The 21,200-nt window shown below is 37.9% G+C and overlaps 1 protein-coding gene across 6 annotated transcripts in view; it reads left to right on the top strand.

Annotated features, from left to right (window-relative positions):
* SUCLG2 (succinate-CoA ligase GDP-forming subunit beta) overlaps nucleotides 1-21,200 on the top strand; it is a 294,153-nt gene that overhangs the window by 116,823 nt on the left and 156,130 nt on the right. For all 6 annotated transcript variants that reach the window (XR_007095763.1, XR_001740350.3, NM_001177599.2 and 3 more), the window contains exons 3-6: nucleotides 8,604-8,703; nucleotides 9,568-9,658; nucleotides 17,156-17,308; nucleotides 19,454-19,543. Coding sequence is in view for 4 of the 6 variants with exons in the window: in NM_001177599.2 (NP_001171070.1) it covers nucleotides 8,604-8,703; nucleotides 9,568-9,658; nucleotides 17,156-17,308; nucleotides 19,454-19,543 (434 nt within the window). In the remaining 2 variants the exon portion in view is untranslated. The remainder of the gene's footprint in view (nucleotides 1-8,603; nucleotides 8,704-9,567; nucleotides 9,659-17,155; nucleotides 17,309-19,453; nucleotides 19,544-21,200) is intronic.

The raw sequence follows: 21,200 nt of genomic DNA, 5'->3' as shown, positions 1-21,200 counted from the left end.
AATGAGATATCATCTCACGCCAGTTAGAATGGCAACCATTAAAAAGTCAGGAAATAATAGATGCTGGAGAGGATGTGGAGAAATAGGAACACTTCTACACTGTTGATGGGAGTGTAAATTAGTTCAACCATTGTAGAAGAGAGTGTGGCGATTCCTCAAGGATCTAGAACTAGAAATTGCCATTTGACCAAGCAATCCCATTACTGGGCGTATACCCAAAGGATTATAAATCATTCTACTATATAGACACATGCACACGTATGTTTATTTCGGCACTGTGCACAATAGCAAAGACTTGGAACCAACCCAAATGCCCATCAGTGATAGGCTGAATAAAGAAAATGTGGCACATATAAATTATGGAATACTATGCAGCCATAAAAAAGGATGAGTTCATGTCCTTTTCAGGGACATGGATGAAGCTGGAAACAATCATTCTCAGCAAAGTAACACAGGAACAGTAAACCACACAGTGCATGTACTCACTCATAAGTGGGAGTTGAGCAATGAGAACACATGGACACAGGGAGGGGAACATCACACACTGGGGCCTGTCGGTGGGTTGGGGGTAGGGGAGGGTCTGAGAGGGGAACGGATTTAAATAACAGAAAATTAGGAGAAATATCTAAGGTAGATGACTGGTTGATGGGTGCAGCAAACCACCATTGCTCATGTATACCTATGTAACAAACCAGCAGGCTCTGCATATATATCCCAGAACCTAAAGTATAATTTTAAAAAGTATACTTAATTATTGTTAATGACTGTACATATGGTGTTTTATTGTTTCATTATTTGGATACATAAAATTTATTTTCCCAATAGTGTCCAAATGTTGGTGGACATTTGGATTATTTCTAGTTTTTTCACTATTATAACTACATTGCAATGAAAATCTTTAGTTCTCTTGTCAATTTTCATGGAAGTAGGATTGCGCTATCAAAGGATTTTCTGTGAGCCCTAAGCAGATGGCCCTCCTAATTGCCTTCAAAGATTCCAGGTACTTTTTAACTGTTGTGCATTTTTCAGCTGTATGAAATAAGTTGCCCAGCCTGAATCCTTGATTTGTACTGGGCTCAGGAGTCTGTGAGAGGGAGTTTGATTTCAGTCTGCATTGGCTGTCTGGAGAATGAGTTCCTCTAAAGAGCAGAACAGGTTGGAGAGGTGAAGGGTTCCTGATGGATGATGTGTCTAAATGAGAAGAAGACGACTGGGCAGCAGGGCTTGGTGATTTGCAGGCACAGAGGTCTCAGGTTTAGTGTGAAAACTGGCAGGAGTATGGTCCAGAGACCATAGGCAGTGAATGATGGCAGTGAACAGACAGCAGGGCAAAGATTCTGGACAGTAGTTGTGATTGCCTGTGAGGGCGCCTATCACCAATGGAGGAGGGTCTGAGAGAGGAACAGATTTAAATAACAGAAAATAAGGAAAATACAAGATTTCTATTCAAGAAGGTAGATGATCTCTGAAATTAGTAATATTGCTGTAAAAGTGAAACGAACATCTTTAAATATAGGTGCAGCCAGACAGTGTATATATTGCATACATTTTAAATTTCATGGTCATTCCAATTGGCTCTGAAAATGAAACCTTCATGAGTTTATGTTCCACCAGCAGGATATGAGTGTGTGCACACCAAGAGCTGTTCTGGCTGTTGCCACCTTTTGTTCTTCCCTTCCTCATCACTGGTTATGGTCGACGAGAGAATCCCCTTAATGTCAAGTAGCCTTCAATAATATGCAACTAAAGGAGAGGTGGATTCTCAAGCAACTCAGAAACGTTTCAGAGCTGTTCATTTTCAACCCGCAACACTTGTGGGCTCTGCTGTCAGATGTTATAGCTATCAGGTGTGATGACTTGTACTGTGTCACCTTGTTTAGCTGGAACTGCGTTTTCCAGAATCCCCTTCCCTGTGTAGTTTTGGGTTTGAGTTGACTAAAAGAGGAGTTTGCACAGAATTTGTGATTACTCCCTGCAGTTCATTGTGATTAGGTAGTGACAGACAGATGTGGAGATGTTAGCAAGAGGCTCCAGCCTTTTCTTGCTCTTCTCTGCATTGTGTCCAGCTGTTTGTCCCAAGTGCTGATCCTGCTGAGCCATATGGACCCAGGCCCATCCTGAGATGCTTGGTGTCTTAGTCTATTTAGTGTTGCTGTAAAAGAGTACCTGAGGATGGGTAATTCATTTATTTATTTATTTTTAAATTTAATTTTCTTTTAAGTTCCAGGTAATCTATTCATAAGGGATCGTCTCCCGTGACCCAAGCACCTCCCATTAGGCCTGTCCTCCAACACTGGAGGTCAGATTTCAACGAGAGATTTTGTGGGGACAAGCATCCAAACTGTAGCACTTGGCAGCAAGTCCCAAGTCCTTTTCCCCAGCTCCTCCTTTGCCATCCACTTCTCCATCTGGAGGTGCTGATTCCTCTGCTTGGCTGGCTGGGGACTCCTAGGACCCTCCAACCTCACTTTTAGACGTGCCTTTTCTCAGCTCCTCTTGTAAGTGTGCAAGCTTCGATTCCTATAATAAATCCCTTGTCTATAAGTCATAGTAGTTCTGCCTCCTTAATTGAACCCTGGCTGACTCACATCTTTCGTTTGAAAATCAGGGGGAGACATGATTTTTTTATAGCTAGTTTTCCTTAACTTCCTTTAAATACATACACATAATACAGTAGAAATACTTTTGGCTTTCATAAATGCTTTTCATCTTCCATGACTGTTTCCAGCACCTCTTGAAATTACAAGTGTTACACAGGTATTTTTACTGTCAATGTATATCATAATAGGATTGCTTTGTCCTGTAATTAATCAGTAGAGATTTCTTCTGGAAGTTTGTTCTTTTGAAGAAACTTGTATTTTTCTGAAAAACTGTCATTTCTTCAAGTGGCTTCATTTGCAAAAGATTTGTTTAATGTCCTGTGGTTTCATTCTTACAATGTTAGAAATTCTTTAATTAGTTACAGGTGTTGAATGATGTCACATGGGCATTTTTTTTTTTTTTTTTTTTTTTTTTTTTTTTGCCATCAGTGTTAGGGAGTTCTGTCCTAAGGCTTTTTTGTAGAAATATATCTTTTAATATAATTGACACAATGTAAGATTGGCTTACTAGTATTAAACTACATGAAAAGAGCAAGATTGTATCTTTTACTGAGAATAGTAAGATGTTACAACTGAATTGGGTTTTTCTAGAGATAATTTTTATTTACCTTTAAAAATTTTATCACCAACAAAATGTGTATTAACGGTTATGAAAGCAGTAAGTAAGATTAGTGACAAGATCAGAGGAGTAGCCTAATTTATATTACAGATTTTAATGTGGCCCATAATATAGTAATAAATATACAATATTTTTAAGCATATGGCAAATATGAAAAAACTGTGATTTAATAAACTTTAATTTAGGAATTTTTATAGGGACTAAAATTAAAATTATTCCGTCGAAAGCATAAATACATTTTTTGTTAAGATATTATCATTTTTAAATAATCAAACTCTTCAAAATGGCTTTATCATGCCCCCACAGTATCCAAAGAAAGGATTTTTTTTCATAATAGGGAATCATATTCAAAGGGAAGTTTTAGATTTAAAACTTACATGAAAGCCTTATCAGTCAAGAATTTCTTGATTTGAAATAATATCTCCCTGGATAACTTCCTATTTGTATCATAAAATCCTTGTCCTGGAGATGGTTCTATTTCTGTCTTGTACTTATACTTGAAAGTGGCTGTTTTAGACATACACGATTCAAATCTCTGATGGGCAGCAGTCTACTGGAGAGCCATGTATCTCCAGTCTCATTCAGTCAAATGATGTGACCAATGGTGAAATGGTTTATTCTAATGTGCTGTGTGTTTGAAACTCTCTGTCCCAAATTTGAAAAGTCCATGTCAGACATGTTGAAAGCTGAAATAATTATTTCAGTCTCAAAGATGCCTTTTGACATATGGAGAATTATTACAGTATCATCTTATTCCCATTGACCCAGTTACAACTTGAGGAAATATGTGTCATTCTATAGGTGATATCATAGTAATGATTGAAGATTGGTAACTCTCTATTTTTATGTTTGGGTTCTGAAGTCGTAACGCAAACATAGAAGTGAGCTCATTTCCTTTGAGAAATTGGCACCAAGGCCTCTAACTTATCTCTATATAATTGTATATTCTTTATTAAAGTTCATCTTTACACAATACCTTTTGACTCTTCTCTTGCCTTCCACTTTGCCTTCTCCTTGCCTTCTGGTAATAGGTAAATCTGAAATTCTGAAATACAATTTAACTTTCTCAATTAGGAATTCTATCAACTCTCAGGGAAGGTGATTGCCATGCTACATATTACACGATGCAGTTGTGCTGAGAACTGGATATTCCAATTTTGCTCCAGTCAGTGAACCACAGAAATCAGTTTCTGCAAGTCCAATATTATTGACTCCAAATAGATGATCATTGTAGTAGTCATCTCATTGCAGTATCAGTGATACATTTAGCATTTAGGAAAGTATTATAATTTAGAAAAGAGCAATGCTGAATAAAAACCAGCTCAGTAACACAAATAGTTGACTCATCACTGAACTGTTTTTAAAAAATAGTTGAAAATAACTTACTTTTGTCAATATATTTGATTAACATTTCAGACATTTACTATGATTCCTATTATGGCTCTGAAATATGTCTTGTGAGCATTACTTTGTGTAAATATGTTTTCAGAAAGCCATCTCTAAGAAAATTAAGTGAACCACATTTTACAAAGCTTGCTTAATTAAAAATGTGTATTCTATTTAGATTATGCTTTTCTTAATGATTTGATTTTTTTCCCTTTAGACCTACTGCTTCCAAGAATGTTTATTATCTAGCATGTGACTATTGGGGATCTATAAAAATTGCTATAAAACTGCATTATAATTAGAATAACACTTGTGGTAAAGAATGAAAAGAAAATATTTGTAAAAGCATTGTTATAATTCAGCTGATAGACTAAAAAAAGACCACAGAGTAAGGTTTTGCTTAGACTTTTTAAATCGCTCTAAATATTGTTCTCTTAAGTGATACTGTGTTTGAGAGTCTTACATATTTATAAGTTTGTCAGATATGTCTTACAGTGTTTTCTACTAAAATATATGTAAATTCTAATAAACTGGTTCCTATTAAACTGAGTGAAAACCTAACCATGAGTACTGGTTATTTTCAGAAACTCACTAAGAAAGGAACAAAATTTAGTGAAGACGTTGCATACTTAGGCTACTGCGTATAAAAATAGCAATTAAGAGCAAAGACTTTGGAGTTATCCAGACCCAAGTTATACCAACTCAGAGTCCAATAATATAATTATCAATGTCTAGGTTGTTGTCTACTTCTATATAAAATCTATTTTATGCCTGTAATCCTAGCACTTTGGGAGGCTGAGGTGGGCAGATTGCCTGAGCTCAGGAGTTTGAGACCAGCTGGAGCAACATGGGAAACCTCATCTCTGCTAAAAATACAAAAAATTAGCTGGGCATGGTGGCATGTGCCTGTAACCCCAGCTACTCAGAAGGCTGAGGCAGGAGAACCGCTTGAACCCGGGAGGCAGAGGTTGCAGTGGGCCAAGATCACACCACTGCACTCCAGCCTGGGTGACAAAGTGAGACTCTGTCTAAAACAAAAAACAAAAATAAAACCCCAACTCATATTAGAGTTAATTTTTTCCTCTGTCCTTTTAGCTTGTTTTTCTAAAGGATGGTTAAGTCGTCTTATTCAGACAAAAATTGCATTTCATATATGGGATTTTTTTTTCTTTTCTAATACCGTTCAGGATTGGGGCAAGAGGCAATGTTAAATAAAAACAGAAATTTGAGTTTTGGGAGAGATCAGATCTTTAAATAAATAGAAACAGTGACATTTAGTACATGTGAATCAATTTGGTAAATACTGAATGAAGAGACGAGTTACTGTTGAGTGGGATTTGTCATCTTAATTTTCAGCACCTTGAGTAAATAAGCCTTGAATTAAATTACTTCATGAGAGTTTTTCTCAAGATGAGAAAAACTTGCTTTACTTTGGGCTGCTGACTTGCTGACTTACTATATTGATTTAGCACTTGAGATGTAATCAGAAGAGATGATTTTAGTGAACTCATTTTTGGCCTGGGGTGTATGTTGCAGATGTGCGTAGGTTGTTGTCTTTTTCTATTTGTCCTGATCTCTGGTTTCATAGTCTCTGAACTGGTTGCTTGTTCTACCAACACTGTTTTGCATGGAATACTTTGACTGGAGGTCAAATGGCGACACGTTTAATTGACAACACTTCATTGAGGATACAACTCTTTCTGTGTCTTGATGGTTAGTGACTAAAGCTGATCTAATCAAGCCTATGTAGTGCCAATTAACAATGCCCAATTAGGTATTCTCTCTGGCTTTCAAGTTTTGCTGCTGGAAAGCTCAGAGAGGAAAGCATCTCTTCAGGATGACAAGGATATGAAAAATGATAATGGCAATGGAATGCCAGTTATGTAAAGAATTTGAAGTGATCACAATTAAAAATTTGAGTAGACAGCAAAAAGTATTTTTTCCACTTGATGTCTTCCAAAGAAAAACAGGAAATGTCTTCCTGTGTGCCATTTTTTCTTAATTGCTGAAAATTATTATAATGTTGATAGCTATCATATTTTGACTTTAAAAAAATGTGCCAGGCACTTTACTGTATTTCATTTATTCTTCACATCATCCTTACACTGTAGACTTCTTTAATATGACTACTTTACAGAAGGGCATGCTACTTTTACCTTTCTGAATCTCAGTTGTTTCTTCTCTACAAAGAAAGTGATAGGTAGAGTTGGAGATTTTAACCAGGTCTGTTTAACTCCAATATCCTTGCTCTTACTACTGTTCTTGCAGTAAGCTAAATATGCAATGTATTCATTTTACTTGGTTGCTTTCCTTGTGAGTTTCTGACAATTAATTTGTCTTCTACTCAGCTTGATGGAAACCAGTTTATTATAAGACAGGGCTTGACCAATGTTGTGATGGTTCGTATCCAGGGCAGAAATTATTGCCAGAGGGTACACAGGACAGCCTTCTAAGAAAAAACTGTGTTTGCTTCTGAGAAGAAGGTGGGCTTCAGCTTTCTGAGTGTAAGCAAATATAGGAGACAAGAAGACTAACCAATGAAGGCAGTGAAGGAGCCTCAATGGTGTGACATCAGCTGGCTGAATGCCTTCTGTAAAATACTTCTGTAGCTCCCCATTGCCTTGATGATAAAACCTTCCACAGCTCTTTCCGTTTGAACCTTTACCTGCTTGCCTGTGGGTAACAATGATGATGACAGTGACAGTAATAGCTGAAATAACCAAACTTAATGGAGCGCTTGTTAGTTTTTTGGTTTAGCCATCTCTGTAATGATTCCTTTCATTCTTTACAATATACAAAGGTAATAAATGAACTAACTGGTCGAGGCAATAGTTTTTAATTAATCACAAGTTTTCAGGCTCTGGGATAAAGCATTCATGTGTGTTCATTTAATTTTTAAAACAACCCTTGTCATCATTTCACAGTTGAATAAACCGAGTTTCAGAGACATTAAGTAACTTGCCTAATGTCACACAGCTGGGTGAGGGATGAAGGCCAGATTGAAACCTGGGTTTGCAGATTCTAAATCTGGTATACTGAACCAGAATACTCTCATGGCCTTATAGGGGATCAGCTGGGTTCTGTGATTTTAAATAAAGATGACTCACAAACAGAGGATATCAGCTGTGGTCTGCAGTTGTGTGCTATTTGGTTTATTAAACATATTTGATTTGGAGGCAGTTTTTTGTTTGTTGTTGTTTTGTTTTGTTTTGGTGGTTGGGGAGGGGAGCTACCCTGTTTGCTAAAGGCCCCATTTGTCACTGGGCTACTTCATGCACCCAACTTCCCTGCAAGGGAAGATATTTGTGTTAATAACTCTCGTCTAAAAAGTCAAGATTAGAGAGTTCTTTCATTCGTGGAGTGTGATGAGAAACAAAGATTCCACAACCACTTTCCCCCAGGATATTTTGTTACCTTGCCAATGATTTTAAAATATTGCTTGCTTTTAGTTTTAATCCATTTCCTCCTCCCTTTCCCAACCCTATCAGTATATAGAACAACTGCTCAGAAAACTGTTGGTTTCCAATAATGCAGTTATTAACTATGACCTTTGTGTCTTGTCTTTAAACCTTCCCCCGCATAATCCAGTCTTCCCTTTGACATCTCTGATGGTTAGCTCCTCTTACTGGCCAACTGGTGCCTCTGCCACATGGGAGTGCCATTACACAGTAAAATTAATACCTCCTTCCAGGATTTATTTAGCTTCTTCTGACACACTCAAAAGAGCAAGGGAACACATGTCTTGCTTTCCCTTGGGAAGGTCAAGTATTAGATGATTAAACTGGTAGGAAGCATTTGAATATCCTCAGTAAACAAGCTTTGTATTTAGGCTCATAGATGTTTTTTTGAAGTTCTTCATTGCATTTATTTTCAAAGTTAGTTTGAGAGAGCTTTTACCAGTTACTTGGAAGTTATGTGCCATTATTGCTTTCCTTATTGCTTAAAAAACAAAAAAAGAATTTAAAATCAGCTACCAACTCTGGATTTTTCTTTTTCAGATGCAAAAGAAATTGTTTTAAAAGCCCAGATCTTAGCTGGAGGAAGAGGAAAAGGTGTCTTCAATAGTGGTTTGAAAGGAGGTGTTCATTTAACAAAAGAGTAAGTCTGGAGGTTGTTATTCCTTGTCTTTTGGCCAAGCAGTTATGGAAGATCTTGCTCAAGATTGAAAGGCACACTGAGGTTGGTTGTGGTGGGGTAGGAGCGGGCCAAAGCAACTAGAAGAAACTGAAATCATAGGTAGAGGGCTCTGGCAGTGCCCTAGTTTTCCTTCTGCCCCCACAAAATGATTTTTCTTACTAATTGGTGAAAACTTGACAGTCCTTCTGTCCTAAACAATCAATGATTCATCATAAATGTTGGAAATGATACCACTTCCAACTGAAATGCTACTTCCATAATGTCACTCCTCTATTCAAGGACCTGAAGGGACTCCCCATTACCAGTGGCATCTGGGGTACCTCCCCTCTGATAGTCCAAGCCTTCCTTTATTTGAGCCTGTCTTTTCAACTTCATCTCCTGCATCTCCTAGCACTGAACACTTTCCTCTCCTCCCTGTTCCTGTCACACACCTTTTTACTATTTACTTTGATCTTTACCCTCTTCCTTTCCCTCTCATTGTTCAATATCTCCCCAGTTTTCCACTGTCGGATCTTCAGTCAACCCTTATCTGAATCTGGTGTGCATTTCAGCATTCTCTCTTTACTATGACTGTAACTTTTTTGGGTGAAGAGGTCACAAAGCATCTTTTGTTTCATTTATTCATTCATGAACTCACTTTTATTTTGCTCTCAGTGAGCCTCTAGTACAGTGCTAAACACGCAGCACATAAGCAGAAAGACTCATGGATTTTGTGAGGGTGAAGGTGAACCCTTTGCAGTGTAGACATGAGGCTCTGTGTAAGGACTCTCATTTAAATGATTTTCAACAAACATTCATTTTCTGCTTGTTTTCTCTTTCTCTTAGCCCTAATGTTGTGGGACAGCTGGCTAAACAGATGATTGGGTACAATCTAGCGACAAAACAAACTCCAAAAGAAGGTGTGAAAGTTAACAAGGTAATATGGATACTTTGGGTCATTTTCTATATATGTGTTAAAAAATAGAAAAGAAAACCATCCTTCAGTTTTTGACAGAATCTAATGAAGTACTGCTCTTTGGCAGTGTGCCATTTTATTTTTTAAAGCTCATCTAATCTGTTTAGTAAGTAGTATGTCTTGGAGGAGAAATAAAAAGGGCTCTATGATAGTAATATTATTTATTATCATTAGCATTTAGCAAAAAGTGGGTGAGGGTGAGTGACCGAGCAATGGCTTTCCCTCTGAGAACACAGATGCATTCTATTTAGTTGAGAAGCGCTTGCTGTGACAGCCTTATACTCAGTGAGGGACATTCGCTGCTCCCACACAGTGGCCCTCAACCCCAGGCGTGTCTGTCAGAATTACCTATTGTGGTTGTTTTTCTAAATGCCCCATTCCTTATTTTAGGATGACTGTAATTTTGAGCCATTTTTATTGCTGGGGGTATATTGCATTAGGAAGGTCAGCTGAAGTACCCAAGTATGTATAGCATGTGGACACACACCCCTCATCCACACATAGAAAATAAAGCCCAGAGGAAAGTGGCCTGCCTCAGTCATGAAATTGTGAGTGGTAGAGCTGAGACCAGAACCTAACTCTCCCTCCTGCCAATCTACCTTTCACCATCCCTTTTGTGTATCCAGACACTAGAACTAGCTACCTGGGTTGCAGAATCCAGTGCCAAATAAAAAGGCAGGGACCCGTGTTAAAATTTCAAGACAGCTATAGCTAAACATTAAATCCCTTTACAACTACACAGATCACATGTGTCAGCCCTGAAAAGCATCCATGGTTAGAAGATCCTGTCCTAACAGCGAATTAGGGTCCTGCATTTTGGGGTGGCAGCTGTCTGCTCTGTTGACATAGCGTCACAGATCAGTGGTCTCTACCAATGCACCATGCTGCAGGACACTGCAGTGGTGACATCCTGTTTTTACTTTTCAGGGAGAGTTTTGTGGAAAACTCTTAAGTTGTTGTATTTATCAGTATTTAGTTCCATTTTCTTTTGTTAATTTTTGTGGGTACATAGTAGGTGTATATATTTATAAGGTACATGAGATGTTTTGATATAGGCATACAATGTGTAATAATCCCGTTACAGTCCTTTTTCTTGCTATGTAGCAATCTATGATATGGATGTACCTACCACAGTTTGTTTAACCATCATCTGTTGAAAGACATCTGGGTTGGTTCGTTTTTGGCTATTACAAATAAAGCCACTCTAGACATTCATGAACAGGTTTTTGGTATAAATATAAATCTTCATTTTGGGGGATAATTGTTGGGTTATGTGGAAGTTGTATAATTAGTTTTTTTAAGAAACTGATGAATGTTTTCCAGCATGGCTGTTCCATTTTACATTGCCATCAGCAATGTGTAAGTGGTCAGGGTTCTCCACATTCTAGCCCGCATTTGGTGGTGGTGGTATTATTTTAGCCATTCTTATGGGTGTGTAGTGATATTTCATTGTGATTTTAATTTGCATTTCCCTAATGGCTAAAGATGTTGAACATCTTTTCATGTGCTTATTTGCCATCTGTAGATTGTGGTTGGTGAATTGTCTGTTCATGGATGCTATGGTCTGAATGCTCCCTCCAAAATGCATGTTGAAATTTAATCCCCATTGTGGTTTGCATTAAGAGGCAGAGCCTTTTGGGAAGTGATTAGTCATGAAGGCTCTGCCCTCATGAATGGATTAGTGCAGGCTTGTCCAACCCACGGCCCACAGGCCACAGGCATCCCAGGATGGCTTTGAAAGTGGCCCAAGACAAATTTGTAACCTTTCTAAACATTATGAGATTTTTTTTGCAATTTTAGTTTCTTAGCTCAGCTATTGTTAGTGTTAGTGTATTTTATGTGCGGCCCAAGACAATCCTTCTTATGCCATTGTGGCCCAGGGAAGCCAAAATATTGGACATCCCTGGTAGTGCTTTATAAAAGGGCTGAAGGGAACTAGCTTAGACCTGTTTTGCATTTCCACTTTCTGCCATGTGAGGATGAAGCAAGAAAGGCCATATCACTAAATGGCGGTGCACTGATCTTGGACTTCCCAGCCTCCAGAACTGTGAAACAATATATTTTTGTCCTTTATAAATGACCAAATCTCAGGTATTTTGTAACAGCAGCATGAAGAGACAAAGCAAATTTCTTTTGGCCATTTTCTAATTAGATTATGTTTTTACTATTGAGTTTTGAGTTATTCTAGGTACTAGTCCACTGTTGGATATGTGCTTTGTAAGTATTATCTGTTACACTATATAACGTATATATTCATTTTTTCAACAGGGTCATTTGCAGGGCAAAAGTGTTTAATTTTGATGAAGTCCAATACGTCAATATTTCCTTTATGGATTATACCTTTTTAGTATCAGGTCTAAGTCCTCTTTACGTTGCCCTACATAATAAAAATTTTCTCATGTTTTTTTCTAGATGTTTTATAGTTTTATGTTTTATATTTAGGTTTGTGATCCATTTTGAGTTGACTTTTGAATAAGTTGTGAGACTTAGGTCAAGGTTATTTTTTAAGGGGCAAAAGGGCTATGATATTCAATTACTCCTGCACCATTTTTTGAAAAGGCTTATCTTTTCTCCATTGAATTGCTTTTACATCTTTGTCAAAATTCAGCTGGGCATATTTCTTTGGGTCTGTTTTGGGGTTCTCTGTTTTGTTCCATTGATCTTTGTGGCTGTCCCGCCACCAATATCACAGAGTCTTAATTACTGTATTTATATAAATTCTGAAATTGAGTAGAATAACTCTTGTCACTTTATTCTTCTTTTCCAAAACAGTTTTACCTGTTCTAGTTCCTATACCTTTTTATGTACAATCTAGAACAATTTTATCTTTACGAAAAAATCTTGCTAAGATTTTGATAGGAATCTTATTAAACCTGTATATGAATTTGGAGGGAATTGGTTTTTTGTTATGTTAAGCCTTGCAACCCATGAGTATGATATGTCTCTCCTTCTTTTAGGTCTCCTTTGATTTATTTCATCAGCATTGTATTGTTTTCAGCATATACGTTTGGTATATGTTTTGTCAGTCTTACACATACATTGTTCTCTTTTAAAGCAATTACAAGTGGCATTGGATTCTTAATTTCAGTGTCCAACATGCTCATTGTTAATTGGTGTTGATTTCTTTTTAAATGCTTGGTGAAGTTCCCTAGTGAAACCATGTGAGCCTGGAGATTTATTTGTCTGTGCCTGTTAATGTTTTTGGGTTGCTGGCTTCTCTAGCACCCAGCACCCTGCCTGAGATTTATGAGGCCAAAGAAAACATAGGAGACTCACTACCATACGCTTCCTTGGACCTCAAGCTCCCTAGCTAGTCTCCCTTCTTCTCTATAACTTTCAGAGTCACCTTAAGTTTTATGTATATATATGTCCAAGGCTTTTATTTGTACTTAGCGGGAAGAATAGGGAAAAACATGTCTACTCCATCTTCTCAAAAGTATAAGTCCCCAGATTATAGAACCTTTTGATTCTAAATTTATTTCAGAAGCTATTTAAACACATACACACATTTATACACATCAGATATTTGTTTTCTAAGTCTGTGCCAATGTGTTATGTATTCCTGGGGCTAGTACTAGGGCCTGTGAGACAGTGCTACTCATCATGCGGTCCAGGATTCAGTACCAATAGTGGTTACTGCTCTGTAATCAATTTAAAATTCGAGAATGTACTTTTAATCTTCTCTGTTCATGGGTGTGTTACAAATAGTTTGTACGCTAGCACTCATCTCCTGACCACAATTCCAGTAGCATGATATTTTTAAGGAAACAGATTCAGCAGTAGATAGGTCAAAGAAAGTTAAAAAGCTTTCTATACTGGTGGACTCCACAAAGACGATGTGTCAACATATTCTTTGTGTAACTCACAGGTGAAGCTCTTTTGAAATGTTTCTAATGGAGTTGCTCCGGGATGAGTGTTTGTGGATTCCATTTAGATTTCTCTGTAACACTTCCTAATATACTCTGTCATCCTCGGTCATTTGGAAGGCATGACGATGTCAACAAACTGGTCTTTGTTGTATAAAATTTCTTGAATTATCTCTTGATAATTATCATTTTCCTGGTGACATTTTCTTAAAGAGTCATGCATTATTCCTGTGAAGCAAGAGCTGTTTCAGACAGTAGCTGGGCTTCACAAATAGAAATTTGGTGGAATACAGAGCACGTCTGTCAACATTTTTGAAGATTAAGAATAGGACTCTTGAATGACACTTATCCTAAAAAGTTATAATTTTGTGTTGCCTCTAAGAATAACTACTGAAAGTCATTAAGTATTATTCTCTAAACTAACTCTGCATTAGAAAATGAACAGTATTATGCCAGTAGACCTGAAAGCATATACCAAACACACTCCTCATTTTGTATTTTGTGCCAATCAAATTTCTTAAAACAGCTTTCTCTTCTAGAGAAAGTTTTAGAAGAAATGATTATCTTAATTTCTTAAAATGTTTGTATTAATGTTGATGCTTAGAAAGGCAGACTTTATGTTATTTCTATAAACGACAAGTTGTTACTGTATTTTATAAGGAAAGAATAGGGCTAAGTATTTTTGCTTCAAATATTGTCCTACCCCTCAATCAGAAATTCTGAAAGAATTTACGGTTTCAAGCAACCTGAAGACTGGGAGAATTAGGCACTGACTGATGGTTTGACCTTCATTGTTGGTGAGAACAACCAACTTGAAATCAGAATGGTTCTGTGCTAATTCTAACACCATGTGCTGAGAAACAGTTTTTATATACTTATGAACTTCCATTTCTGATAAATCAATATGAAGACCTATATATTTTATTTTTAACTAATGGTAAATTCAACAAAAGTTTGAAAAAGAGGAGTTCTATATTCATTCCATTATAGCTTTTTAGATCATTATATATTTATCCCATTTCATGTGACCTAAAACTTAAGTGTTTTTGTGGTATCTGAGTAGTTAAAATCTAATGCTACTTAATCTGTAACTTTTTTTTGTGGAACCCATCACTAAACTACTTGTAAAAAAAGCAATGTGGCCGGGTGCGTTGGCTCACACTTGTAATCCGAGCACTTTGGAGGCGGAGGTGGGCGAATCACGAGGTCAGGAGATTGAGACCATGGTGAAACCCCGTCTCTACTAAAAATACAAAACAATTAGGCCAGGCACGGTGGCTCATGCCTGTAATCCCAGCACTTTGGGAGGCCGAGGCGGGCGGATCACGAGGTCAGGAGATTGAGACCATCTGGCTAACATGGTGAAACCCCGTCTCCACTAAAAAATACAAAAAAATTAGCCGGGTGTGGTGGCGGGCACCTGTAGTCCCAGCTACTTGGGAGGCTGAGGCAGGAGAATGGCGTAAATCTGGTAGGCAGAGCTTGCAGTGAGCCGAGATCGCGCCACTGCACTCCAGCCTGGGCGACAGAGCGAGACTCTGTCTCAACAAAAAAAAAAAAAAAAAGAAAGAAAAGCAATGTTAGTGCTTTCATTGTTTTCACATCTATTACTGATTATTTATGGGATTGTTTTTATATTCTTTAAACATCCAAGATATCTTTCACTGTTCTTGTTAGGTGCGTAAGTTGGAACAACCTCTCTCAAGCACTTTGACAGTACTTATCAACATTTTAAATATTCACAGTTTAAAACCTAGACATTTCACTTTTAGGATACTTATCTACAGGGATACTAAAAGAAATGAACAAAGATACATGTACAAAAATACTCACTAAAGTAGCATTTTAGGAAAATTGAAGTTCATGTAAATGTCTGTCAGCAGGCCAGGCACCATGACTCATGCCTGTAATCCCAACACTTTGGGAATCTTAGGCGAGTGTATTGCTTGAGTCCAGGAGTTTGAGATCAGCCTGGGCAACATAGCAAGACCCCATCTCTACAAAAAATAAAGCAAAAATTAAGTGGCTATGGAGGCACGTGCCTGTAGTTTCAGCTACTCAGGAGATTCGTTTGAACCTGGGAGGTCAAGGCTGCAGTGAGCCACGATTGTGCCATTGCACTCCAGCCTGAGAGCAACACAGCAAGACCATCTCAAAATGAATAAACAAATAAATAAATAGATAAATAAATAAATAAATGCAGGAACATGGTTAAATAAATATTGTCATATAAATACCATGTAATCACAATGAAGAGAGAAGACCTTAGAAAGATATTTAAGTTGTAGTATTAAGATTTTAAAAAAGAGGCCAGGCGTGGTGGCTTACCTCTGTAATCCCAGCAGTTTGGTAGGCTGAGGCAGGTAGATACTTGAAGTCAGCAGTTCAAGACCAGCCTGGCCAACATGGTGAATCCCCATCTCTACTAAAAATACAAAAATTAGCCAAGCATGGTGGCAGGCACCTGTAAGCCCAGCTACTCGGGAGGCTGAAGCATGAGAATTGCTTGAACATGGGAGGCAGAGGTTGCAGGGAGGCAGAGGTTGTAGGGAGCTGAGATCGTGCCACTGCACTACAGCCTCAGTGACAGAGTGAGACTCTGTCTTTTTTTAAAAAAAAAAAAGATTAAAAAAAAGAAAGGCATCCTGTTGTATATAATGTGCTTCCACATGTAGGATTATTCCATTACTGCAATGCTTGCAGATACATAGAAAAGGACTAGAATGTCAGCAGTGGTTTTTCCTGGTGGGGCTGTTACATGAAATTCAAGTCCTACAGAGCAAAAGGACACCTGGCTGAGGCAGTGAGTCCCCACTCACTTGTGGAATTGAATGACATTCTTCCATCCCACTTGTCCCCTGTCTAGTCATGGCCCTGGCAAATGACCACATATTCCCAGAGGAAGGGGTGCCTTTTTCTAGTTATCACGGAGGTTCCTGGTAGGCTCGTATCTGCCCTGACTCCTGGGGCCCGAGGGTTTATTTGAGGTAGAGCTGTGCAGCAGGAAGCTGCTTTCACTTTCTCATTTATATATTTTTGGTATCGTTTGCATTATTTTTGAACAAGCAAATATTCTTTTTATAAATTAAAAGGAAGTATAAAATGAAGTAAAATATAGTGATCGAAGAGACAGAAATACACAAACATATGAAGCATCAGACATACTGTAAAAGAATCCGTCTGTGGCAATCATGCTTGGTTTTCCACCAGTGAAATCTGAGAAAAGTCAGTGTAGTAATATATATGTGTACTGTTAATATCTCAAATTAAAATAACAGCCACTTCTCTAGGGTATTTCTTAAGTGACACAGTTTCTTGAGGAAGGACAAAAAAGAAGATTAAAGTGGGAAGGTTCCTTGAGGCAAACGAAATACCTGTCACTCGAACAAGTTAATGGGATCAAAATTAAGGAGGTGAAAATGGGCATTGTGTGCACCATGAGAGCAGAACTCTCAAAGCTCTGCAAACTCACTCCCTGGGCTGTAAGAGCCTGAAAATGAAGCCATTTGATTCGTGTAGCAAGTTTGTATAGATTTCCAAGTAGAAATCAGCTTAATGCTGAATTAATTTGACTTTCCCACTAATGTGGTAGGTGATGGTTGCTGAAGCCTTGGATATTTCCAGAGAAACCTACCTGGCAATTCTGATGGACCGGTCCTGCAATGGCCCCGTGCTGGTGGGCAGCCCCCAGGGGGGCGTCGACATTGAAGAGGTGGCTGCTTCAAACCCGGAGCTCATTTTTAAGGTATGTTTAAATTCCGGGCTACCTGCTATTAATTGATTGTTATTGTAGAAGCTGTTAAATATTTAATGGGGAGTCTAAGGCCAGGAGCACTAAATCTGTCTCTACAATTTAAGGTAAGAAGATGCTGAGCCCTTTTTCTTTCTGGGTATCCAGTTGAAAGTTGGGTGGAATCAAGGTATTCAGTGTTCAAGGACTTTTTATCTTTGCTTTTCCCACCCTTCCTTCTTTACTTCTTCCTGCCTTTTCTTCCTCCCTGATTCCTTTCCATCCAATCTTCCTCAAGAATTAACCAATGGGAGAGGACTGCTATATTTTCATTTCTTATGGTTAACTCTCTTTCATTTAATATTATATATGATCCGGAAATTCTCTCCTAGGAGATGAATGAATTCTCTTTTAGCAGATGTGAACTAGAAACTGTCTTGAGTTCTCTCAGTACTCTTGATGTAAACTAGAATCTTTATGAAGTCTAGATTCTATCAGTTTTTTTCAATCCTTGAAATCTTGACTCATTTATTGATATTAAGATTAGTTTCAAGTCAGAGATCTGAGGTCAAATTTAATCAGAGCACAAGTTTCTCAAAGTCTCCAAACCTCATTTTTAAATCAGTAAAATGAACATGGGGTGATTTCTACCATGTGAGATTATAAGGATTAAATGAGGTGATGTGTATAAAGTGCTTCTTAACCTACGTCAGCTATGAGGAGAAAAACATAAGTTTTCAGAACTAAAATTGAAGTTTTTAATCTGGGTTCTTGGGGTCAAAATTACATTACAATTTTCCACCAGAAACATTCATTATTTCTTTTAGAAAATGATTTTTTTGTTTCCCTTTGAGAAGGGGAGATTTTATTTCTTAAATCTCTTTGTCTAAATAATGTACAATAAACACCCACTTAGCATCCTCAACAGGTTCTTGGAAACTGCGACTTGAATGGAAACGATGTATAAGGAAACCAATGTTACCATACATAGGCTAATTGATATAAACAAGAGTTAAGTTCCTATAGCATATTTCTGCTCACAGAACATCACTCAACTCCTAAATAAAGACCAGCACACTTCTAATGTTACACATTAAAATAAATAGGAGCTATATGTACGTTTCAGAAAGATTTCATAAAAACAAGTAAGATAATTGTTTATCCAGTTTTTCCAGCTTAGGGTCTCTGATGGCTGGAGCACAGGGTGCAAGGTAAGAGCCCACCCTGGATGGGACACCATCCCATTGCAGAGCACACTTACACACCACACCCACTCAGACTGGGACTGTGTATACATGCCAGTTGACCTAACATGTACAGATTTGGGATGTGGGAGAAAACCGGGGGACCCAGAGAAAACCTACTCAGACAAGAGGGGAATGTGTAGACTACACAGAGACAGTGGCCTTGGCTGGGAATTGATTTTTTTTTTTCTCAACCTTATAACAAAACGACCTTGAATGAAGTAACGTTATTTGAAGACCTGCTGTACTCATACTGCAGTGATTGGTTTTAAAATATTTTCACTAATATTATATAATAAGTTAATTACCTTGGAAACTGAATTGAGACTTTATATGCAGACTTACCAACAACACCTAGCTGTTTTCAAAGTTCACATTATTTAAAGCAGGCCATTCCATTTGTTAAGAGAATGCATGAAATAATGTATAGTGACAGTGCTCGGTGTCTTTGAGACAATATCATTTTGTAGAGCTAAGGTAACAGTAATAATTATCATCAATAGAGTGTTTAAATCATAAGGTAATATTTAACCTATCTATGACAGGCTTTAAACTTAACTACTAGTAGGCAGGAAAACCTTACTTTGGAAACCTTCCAAAAGATGTCAAAAAATTAACTGACTAAATATTCATCAATGCCATCTGTATAGTAATTAAAAGTGAAAACTGGCATCAGATTTTCTTGTCAGCATGCCACCATGAAGAATTATATAGTTTTTGGAAGGGCTTTTTTATAGATGGTCTGCTAATTAAAACATACCCTACAGGCATCTGCGGTAGCCCTGCTCAGAGATCTCTGGATAGATGCCACACTTTAATTACTCATTTGCAAATAAATACTAAGCATTTTCTTTTGAGGTTGTAAATCTTCTCAGTTGACTGTCTGAATTTTGTTTATTTGATTTATTTTTACTAGGAGCAAATTGACATTTTTGAAGGAATAAAGGACAGCCAAGCTCAGCGGATGGCCGAAAATCTAGGCTTCGTTGGGCCTTTGAAAAGCCAGGTATATAAGCCATTGGGGGATGGTGTGTCTGACTTGTTTCAGAAAACATTTGGGAACTTGCTTCATTGCCTCTAGTGTTTGTGATTACCAGGAAACAGGATTATTTATTGTTTTATAATTTTTTCCTCCAGCTGTTTATGATGAAGAAAAATATTTCCCTGATGTTTTAAAAGAGGATGTTTATGATGTGTCTTTGAATGTGTTTTGGTATGTGTGTGCATGTGTATTGCATGTGGACACATACACTTCATGATAGATGGTAATCTCTATTTTTTCTGTAGCATTGCTGGTACTTAGCCACCTGGCAGGCATGTGATACAGCTCATTCGAACTTTAGTTTCATCATCTATAAAATGGGAATGATGACAACTCCCGAGAGGCTTATTGTGGGGATTCAGTAGAATAATGTGTAAAAGTCCTTATTGTACTGCTCCATAAAGGTCTGTTCTTAATGGTATTAATATTAATAATACATGTTATTTAGCTAATTGCTATTCTTTCATAGCTAATGGGCATTTGAAATGAATATTGATGGCATAAACTTGATATTTTATTGAGAACAGCTTAAAATATGCCAATTTTGTAATAATATCCCTTGGCTTCAAAGACCAAAACATTGGCCTCAGAGCTGTTGAGGGACAGAATCTGTCTTAGTATCGTCCCCTGCTCTGCCTTTGTTCCAGCCCATGGCACCTGATTATGTGTCTAGTGGGGCAAGCTTCCTAGTCCCACAGCTAAATCAGATAAACTTACTTGTTCCTTCCTCTGTTACTCAGAGAGGCCACCTTAATGGCCCTAGATTGTGTGTATGTGTGCATGTGTGTATGTTCTCTGGCCTGGGGCTTTATGAAAAGGTTACAGAGTATGTCCTTTAATTTGGTTGGGCAGCACTATTCCCATAAGACAGTACATGATGCACTCTTTTCTTTCTGTCTTGTCTTTTTCTTTTGATTGACTCTCTCTGGAAGTTTAATGGCAACAGTAGGCAAGTCAAAGAGGGATAAAACAGAATAAGGTTTTAAAAAATATATATGCTTAAATGAAGGGAAACCACTTACTTGAAAATGAATAAAGGCTCACTTTGAAAGCAAAAGATTGAAGATGGTAGAATGGAACAGGGTCATCTGGAACTAAACCTCAGGATGAGAGAGAAAGGGCCAGGATTCGATGGACAGTTAGAGGAACTAATTGCCATTTCTGAGACTAGCAAAGAGATGCCAGGAAAGTGATCTGTTGAAAGGAAGATCCTGGAAGATTCCTGAATATGTGCTACAGTGGTTGGTTTCACCTCCTGAGAATGAGGATACCAGCTACATTAGCCATTCATTTGATGTTTATTAAGGGGCTTCTCCTGTAGCAGTGGTGGTCACCAAGAGCCCGTTTTCCATACAGCCACTGTGGTCTAGCTGCACTGTCTGGCAGTCAGCTCCAGAGTTGCACAGTGACCCTGTCTGCCTCCTCCATATCACTTTGGACATCTGTATATTTCTCTTATTTATTTGCAGTCACCTTTGCTAGATCCTAATCTTTACCACGGCAGGGACTTTGTCCATCCTACTCACTGCTGTGTTGCCAGCAGCTGGCAAAGTGCTTGGCATCTATTTTTATTGCCCAAGAAACATTTGTCATGTGCATGACTAGGTGAAACAACACTTCT

The sequence above is a fragment of the Homo sapiens genome, chromosome 3 (genome assembly GCF_000001405.40).
Source record: "Homo sapiens chromosome 3, GRCh38.p14 Primary Assembly".
Taxonomy (NCBI): domain Eukaryota; kingdom Metazoa; phylum Chordata; class Mammalia; order Primates; family Hominidae; genus Homo; species Homo sapiens.
Note: the sequence above shows the minus strand (reverse complement) of the source record. Positions and strands in the feature narration are given on the sequence as shown.